This window comes from Homo sapiens, chromosome 2 (genome assembly GCF_000001405.40).
Source record: "Homo sapiens chromosome 2, GRCh38.p14 Primary Assembly".
Lineage (NCBI taxonomy): Eukaryota > Metazoa > Chordata > Mammalia > Primates > Hominidae > Homo > Homo sapiens.
Window position 1 is genome coordinate 17649704 of NC_000002.12, and position 7677 is coordinate 17657380.

General features: G+C 43.1%; 1 protein-coding gene across 5 annotated transcripts in view; it reads left to right on the forward strand.

Annotated features, from left to right (window-relative positions):
• The window catches only part of VSNL1 (visinin like 1), a 117047-nt gene extending 109732 nt beyond the window's left edge, over positions 1-7315 (forward strand). For 4 of the 5 annotated variants that reach the window (NM_001366803.2, NM_003385.5, NM_001366805.2 and 1 more), the window contains one exon: positions 5494-7315. In NM_001366803.2, the coding sequence (NP_001353732.1) occupies positions 5494-5691 (198 nt within the window). In that variant the 3' untranslated portion in view covers positions 5692-7315. Of the gene's footprint in view, positions 1-77; positions 308-5493 lie in introns of all 5 variants that reach the window. The other variant, NM_001366804.2, reaches the window with a different exon arrangement.
• Positions 7316-7677: the final 362 nt, after the last annotated feature.

Here is a 7677-nt window from a genome sequence, read left to right on the forward strand (position 1 = left end):
GGCTTCTTCTCTCTCTGCTCGAGCCCTGCCAGCTGCACACCACGCCTGGACTTCTCCTGCTTCTGTCCCCGCTGCAGCACAGTGCTGGGGAGGTCCCAGAACCAAGCCATGGGGCCCGTACTGTCGTGACGGTGGCATTGTCATCTGCCATTCACTCACTACTGGATCTCCCACGAACCTGTCTTACTGTGCACACAGGATGTCATGGGCTGTTTCTCTGGCACTTGGTGTATCTCTGCTCTGCCTCACTCCAGCTGCGCCTAGTGGGGACCCGAGGCTGTCAGGGGCTCCCGGGACATCCTTCCAGGTTCTGGTCATTCCACAGCAAGCAGGCTTTGCCCATTGTGTTTGTGAGTAACCCAGGATTCCTCTGCCACGCCACCCACTGCGTACTGCATTCCCAATGTGAAGGTCTTCTTGGTTTTCTTCTAATGCCCGGTTCCACTTCAGGGCCTTCCACTTCCTCTCTCTCTGCCCAGCATGCCCTCCCCTGGCCTCTGGGGGCTCCTCCCTCACTTTGCTCCCATCTCTGGTCTTATCCCATCTCCCAGAGAGGTCTTCCTTCCTGCATACCTTCCCAAATATGCCCACTCCACCCTCACACCAAAGCAATCTAACCCTTACCAAGAGGGGTTTTGTCCCAACATCTGTCCCTGCCCCAGATTAACTTGTTGAGTGGAATATATGGCAGAATGCAAGCTCTCTGAGGAGGCTCTGCCCTCACGGCTGCATGCCCAGAACCCAGACCCAGCCTGGAGCCTGGCAGGCATGCAATAGCAGATGCATGGTTCGGTAGCTTTCCTTTGATTGACTGTCTTAGCATGGGTTCCCACCCCTGCACCAGCCACTCTGACCAAGGAGAGAAAGGTATCACTTGCTGAAGGTAGAGCCAGGTGCTCCATCCTGGAGCTGGGGGGATGCCCCATCCAGACACCAAGAGCTGAGATCAGGCAGGGTGGATCCCCACAAGAAAATGGGATGATTGCAAGAAACAGAAGCCAAAGCCCCAAGTTCCCCTCAGGACTCTCACTCTCCTCCCAGCCTCAGAGAGAAGTCACCCATCAACTCCCTGCCTGGGAAGCTGGCCTCGTTCACTTGCACACCCTCTCATTCCACATCTTCAGTCTCTTCTTCTCCGTTGGCTTCTCCCCTTCTATCTTCAATGCCCACTCCCTTTCAAATATACCCAGCAAACTAACATCTTAGTTCTTTACTTGTGTTCCCTTCATTCAATTGAATATATATTTTTTCCAGCAGGTTATCAGAAAAGATACAGCACAATAATTCTGAACATGTGGCTTGATTTTCTCATCTTTCTCACTCTTTAATCTTTTGTCCATCTTCCACACTTAACTTGGCTCCCTCCAAGGTCTCTCTATAAGCTCCCTACAGAGTAGGTTTTTCCAAGTTTTTTCTCCTCTTTGACTTCTTGTCATTTCCCCTCATTGGCCACCAAAACCCTTCCTCTCCAAAACTTTTCTCTCTAATCCTTGTCAATGCCCTTCAGCCAAAGTCCCCAAGGACATACCCACACTTACACAAGTTGACTTTATTACTGCTTGCAGTGAGGGAATCTTGGGGCAATTCAGCAGGAGGGTGTTAGAAAGGACTTCTAGGATCTGGACTTTGGGAGGGTGATTTGGGGAGGGTTCGGAGAAGCAGAGGTTTACTGTGGATTGGTTACTGTCAGGGAGTGGGGACACTTCTATGATTAGATACCTAGGAGGAGGGCACACAGACCAATGCAATGCTCTTAACGGGTGAAGAAGCAGTGGTCACTCACCATAGCAGGAAGCAGGGATGCTTGGTGTTTTGTGTCTGTGTTCAGACTTAATGACAGAGTGGTCTTGTTTTTGCCTTGCTCCATCATGGTCACTGGCATTTTGTGACATTGGTTATGTTTGGTGTGAGACCTGACTGTGAGGGCTGGGCCAGCTCCCGGCAGCACCAAGGCCCGGTGGGCAGTCCGGGCCATTTCCTGGCTGTCAGCGGCTGCTTTTCTTTCTCTTAGTTCTTCCACGTTTCTCCCCATCACTTCTAGCTCTTCCTTTCTTCTATTCAGAGCTTTTATGGATTGATTTCTCACCTGATTATGGGTCACATTTTCCTGCTTCGTGACACGTGTAATAATTTTTATTGGTTCCTGGACATTATGAATGTTGCATTAGAGTGTCTGTATTTTGTTGTCTTCATTTATAGAGTGCTGAGATTAGTTTTGACAGGCAGGTAAGTTATATGTAAATTAGCGTGATCTTTTCGAGGCAGTTTTATAATTTTAAGCTTTTAGAGCAGATGGAGAGTAGGTTTTCTGTAGTAAGTTAGCCCAGTGCCCAATTTGTGACCATTTTGGGGTTCTTACTGATTTTCTCATACATTTAGTGAGGTTTCTCTACTCTGGCTGGTGGGAACCAGCCCCATGTGTTGTGATACTTATTCAGGTATTTAAGTGAAAGAGGACATATCAGAGTATAACTAGACAGAGAATATAAATAGAAAAGAGGTTTCCAGAGGACTGAGGTCCTGGGGCAACCTGATGTTTAGAGGTGAGGAACATGAGGCACAATCAGTAAAGGAGATGGAGAAAGAATTGCCAGAAAGGTCAAAGTAAAAAAGGAAAAGTGAGAAGTCCTGGAAGGGAAACACACTGTTTTGTGGGGAAGGAATGGAATGTGCAATCATGTCAAATGCTATTGATAAAAGAAGTAAAAGGAGAAAAGTAATCACTGACAATTGGAATTGGAAACCTGGAGGCCATAGGTGAACCAGCTGAGAATAGTTTCAGAGGAGTTGGTGGCAAAATCCTAAATAGAGCAGCCCAGGAGAATGGGAGAGGAAGAAGTAAAGACAGTGACTGCAGAAAACTCTTGCCAGAAGCTTTGCTTTAAAAAGAAGAAGAATGGACAACAGGCTTCCTGAATGCCAAGGTATTTAGCAAGCTCTTTGCATTAAGAACTAGAATGCTCTGCAAGCCTGTGTGAGCACCAAGAGTTGTTCAGCTTATTGTTCAGAAACTTCTTTGTGAACTTTTATCCTCTGTGTGCAGCCTAGTTTCCAGATAAACATTGAGGAGTCCTCCTAGGCAGATTTCTGAGGCTTTCTTTCTGCCTGGCTCCCTCTCTGGTCCTCTGCCCCGAAATTTCTGGCTATCTTCACCTTCCTCCTCCAATTGTTGTCTCCTCCAGTTGGTGAGTCAGCCCTGCTTGGGACCCTTCTCCTTGTGCTGCGGTCCAGGAAGGACTCTGGGCTGAGATCATAGGGTTCATCTACTTTGTTTCCCACCTCTTAGGAATTACAGTCTTGCACTGTCAGTTGTAAAGTCTGAAAACAGCTATTTCTTTTATTTTTATCCAGTTTTCTAGTTTACAGTGAAAGGCAAGTCAGTACAGGTCCATCAGGGCTGGGGACCACAGGGGCAGTTTCACACGGAGTTCCGAGTCTGGCATGCCCGGCCTTTGTGATATGTAAAAGTCTGCATCTGAAACGGCCCTTCTTGGTTGTCGTGTTCACAGTCCCAATTGTAGGGCTGTGTCATGGATACGATTAATGAGATCCTGCCATTTTCAGAGTTGCTTCCTGAGGTCCAGGAGGGACTTCTTGTGTTTACATTTCTTATTACCCTGACTTTATTAATAGTGCACTTGTTTTGCTGCCTTCATACCCACTGCCTCATGTAAGGGCTTTTGATTTCGCCTTTTAAAGGCCAGGGTGAGAGTGGCAGCTTACATGTGTACGGGCCATTTGTCTCTTTTTAAATTCCAGACAGTACACATTCCGTGCTTTTCCTTTGTGCACCACTCTGGCTACTAGACTAATCAGGACCTTGTCTACCAATTATCCACAAAATGAAATTTCGGAAAGTCTGCCTCTTTTAGAGACAACTTTCTTAAAGTGTTCCATGATACATCAATACCATCTAGCTACAAAAGTAAATACGCACAAAATATTTTATCTCAGTGGACATTTTAACTTGTTAAATAAAGCACTTTCTAGTTAGTGGTTTGCTCTGATTGGCATTTCTAAAAACAACTTTATGAGTTATAACTTACAGACCATAAATTCACCCATGTTAAGTGTACAAATTAAATGATTTTTACTAAGTGTACAGAGATATGCAACCATCACCATAATGTAAATTTAAAACATTTTTATTCCCCCAGTTAGATCCCTCATGCCCAAAGGCCCGCTCCCACCCCAGGCTCAGGCAACCAACACATCACTGTGTCTCCATGGATTTGGCTCCCTTTCTGGGCATTTGACACAAATGGAATCACATAACATGTGGCCTTACATGTCTGGCTTCTTTATATTTTTGAGATTTATCCATGCTGTAGCATATTCATTCTCTTTTGTTGCTAAAATAGTATATATTTTTTTACCGTATAGCTGTATCCTATTTGTTTACAGTTGATGAGCACTTGTGTCATTTCCACATTTTGGCTATTAATAATACTGCTATGAATGTTCTCATGCAAGTCTTTGTATAGATGGGCATTTATTTTTAAAGCACTTTTCTAAGAAAGGAAATAATTTATACTTTGGAAATTTCATATCAAGAATTAATTGTATACAGTTAGTTGGTCTGGATAATTGAAATCTTCTCACTCTATTCTTTAACTTATAAACAGAGTCCCTGCTCCACAACTCTCCCTAAACTAACTTCTTGCAGAGTTCAATTTTAATGGTACAACTGGCTTGGTTGTCTTACTAGATTCTAAGTTTCTAATCAGTTGGCCCCACAATTCTTCTTTTCCTAAATCCCCAAGGCTAGTGCTTTTTGACTGTTTCCTGCACCTAGATGCAGAATGTTTAAAACTGAGCCCATCATGTTCCTCCCTGAACCTATTCCTAATCCATTATTTCTAATCTCACCATTGAGCCACCCTTTCTAACCACTTCCTCCAGCCAAAAACCTGGAAGCCACCCCAAATTCTTCTATATCCAGTTGGTCACAAGGCTCACCCATATTTGATTATGTCATCTCTTATTCAATAGCATTTAAGGACTTATTTGAAATAAAGTTAAATTCTTTATCTTATCCTAGGAAAACTCGGTGATCTGCTTCTCATTTCCCTCTCTCCAGCTTCATCTTTCAACACTTCACCTGGCCCTCCCTCCTACTGCCCCTTGCCCCACATCCCACGCTCCAGCAGCTAAAGCTTTTTCATTTGATCAGTATTTATTGAGACCTGTGATGTGCCAGGCATCATACCAAGCCCTGGACTTACAGGAGCACGTGCTTCCTAGCTCCATAGAACATACTCTTTAGTGGGGAAGACAAAGCAGTTATTTTAATAAAGGTGAGATGTATTCTGTTGGGGGAAATGGTATGGGTTGTCACAGAAACTTGCAGCACAAGGAGTGAAACTCCTCTGGGGAAAGGGAAGCTGAGGCTTGGAGGATGGGTGGGATCCCGTCAGGTGAAAGGGAGGCAAGAAGAGCTCTCTGTCCTCCTGGGTTTCTGGTAATATCACCTACAATGCTTTTTTCCCCAAGGCTATCTACAAAATGGTAGGCACTGTGATCATGATGAAAATGAATGAGGATGGCCTGACGCCTGAGCAGCGAGTAGACAAGATTTTCAGCAAGATGGATAAGAACAAAGATGACCAGATTACACTGGATGAATTCAAAGAAGCTGCAAAGAGCGACCCTTCCATTGTATTACTTCTGCAGTGCGACATCCAGAAATGAGCTGATGTCAATGCTATGGACTGCACAAAAGTCTCAATGTTCCATTCAGTCTGCAGCTATTCACACACACACACACACACACACACACACACACACACACACACACAAATATTGCTTGGACTACCTATAAATGGACTTGCTTCTTGTGTTTGAAACACTCGTGTGCATGAGAATGTCATTTGCTAATGAATTTTAAAAGCATATATAAAACAAAACAAACAACCTGCCACAATGTGATATGTGTAATATCATTTCATAAAAATCCCTCTTCCTCCAAAGCCTGGGCAGAAATGTGCTGCAAAGAGTTATATGACTTCTTGTTCATGTTTTGCTAATGCTCGTATCTCCTTGATTACATAATGTTAGTAGCACTGAGACCCCCATGGTAATGTAACTTAATTATAAGCTATGTCACTACCCTCCTGTAAAATACTATTGGACAGACACAGAGGGACCCTTGGCTCCTGTGTCTGGTCCACACACCACAGAAGCTTGTATTATCAGTGAATATAAATGTACTACATTTGCATGCCTTTTGGGTTTGCCTTAATTCTTACCTCATTTGCATCCTATCGATCTGGAAAGAGCTGTTTTGGATGAATGCAGTATAAAATGTAAAAACCCTGCTAAATGACTTATTGATTAAGTATATCTATCTATATATACATATACACAAAGATATTATTTATCGAAAGTAAAAAAGATGGAAGTGTATTGGTTTCTGTTTGAATTTTCAAAGGCTTCCAATGTGGTGGCAATAAATGTCCCAAATAAATTTATAACAATTGATTTTCCCCCTAATTCTTATTTTATAATTTTAAAATTGCAGCAGTTGCTAGCAACAACTTACTAAATCTACTCTTAAATATACAACTTTGGAATTTGAAGAATTAATGACAACAAAAGGGAAAAAAGCAACTTTCCAACTTTTCATCCAGGCTCCCAAAAGAGGGACAACGAACATGGCATGTGAAAAGTAAAACAGATTTGTTCATTCCGAAAAAAAAATGTTCATTCTATGACAATAAATTTTATCTCAGTGTGACTTTGGTGCTAACAACGTATGTTCAGTGCAACTACGTGGAGCTGTGCACACACAGCAGGTAGGCTGCAGGTGTCCCCCAACATAAGTCAGTAGGAAAGAAGACATCTGTCTTCCCAAATCTAAAGTAGGCAAAAAATAACAGAAGTAGCTATTTTTAATAACAGAACAGAACTCTGACTCTTTTGATCTTGAAGGAGGCAGAAGAGATTCCATCAAAACCTCTAAAAGCAGGTTTGCATTTTCAGAACATGCCCCCCTAGAGAGTTGAGTTTTTTACACAGCACTACCCGGTAGTACTTTCTCTGATGATGGGAAGGTCTACATCTGCACAGCACGCTAGCTATAACTGCACATATGGCTACTGAGCACTTCAAGTATGGCTAGCGTGACTAAGGAACTGAATTTTATACTGTAATTAAGTGTAATTTGCCACATATAGCTAGTGGCTTTAGTAACAGACAGTTTAGTGCTATATTATTTATTCAAGTACTTTTTATCAAATTCGTTTTTTACCGAATTCGTTTTTTACCATTCTTTATTTGTCTTAGGATCATTACATAACACTAAACTAGGGTCTAATGATTCTATTCATTCATTTAACAAGAAATGGTGACCTCATTACAAACACTTAGGACACCAGTGGTCCTGAAACACTGATAGAACCAAAATTCTGCCCTGACAAGATAGTCCTACAAGTGAATAGAATGTCCTAATACCCTTCACCCTTGTGCATGTTGAGCCCAAACTGTAGGCAGGGAGAGATCAGGGAGGCTCAGTACATCTCAAGACTCCTTCCTCACTAAGTGAGGACGGGTAGGTGAGGAGATGTGGACTGCTTCAGAATGGCACCCGGTTAAACCAGGCCCTGAGTAATTCATTCATAACAATTCTTCACTGGTCACCTACTGTGCACCTAACATCATTCTTGTGTGGAGAGGGAT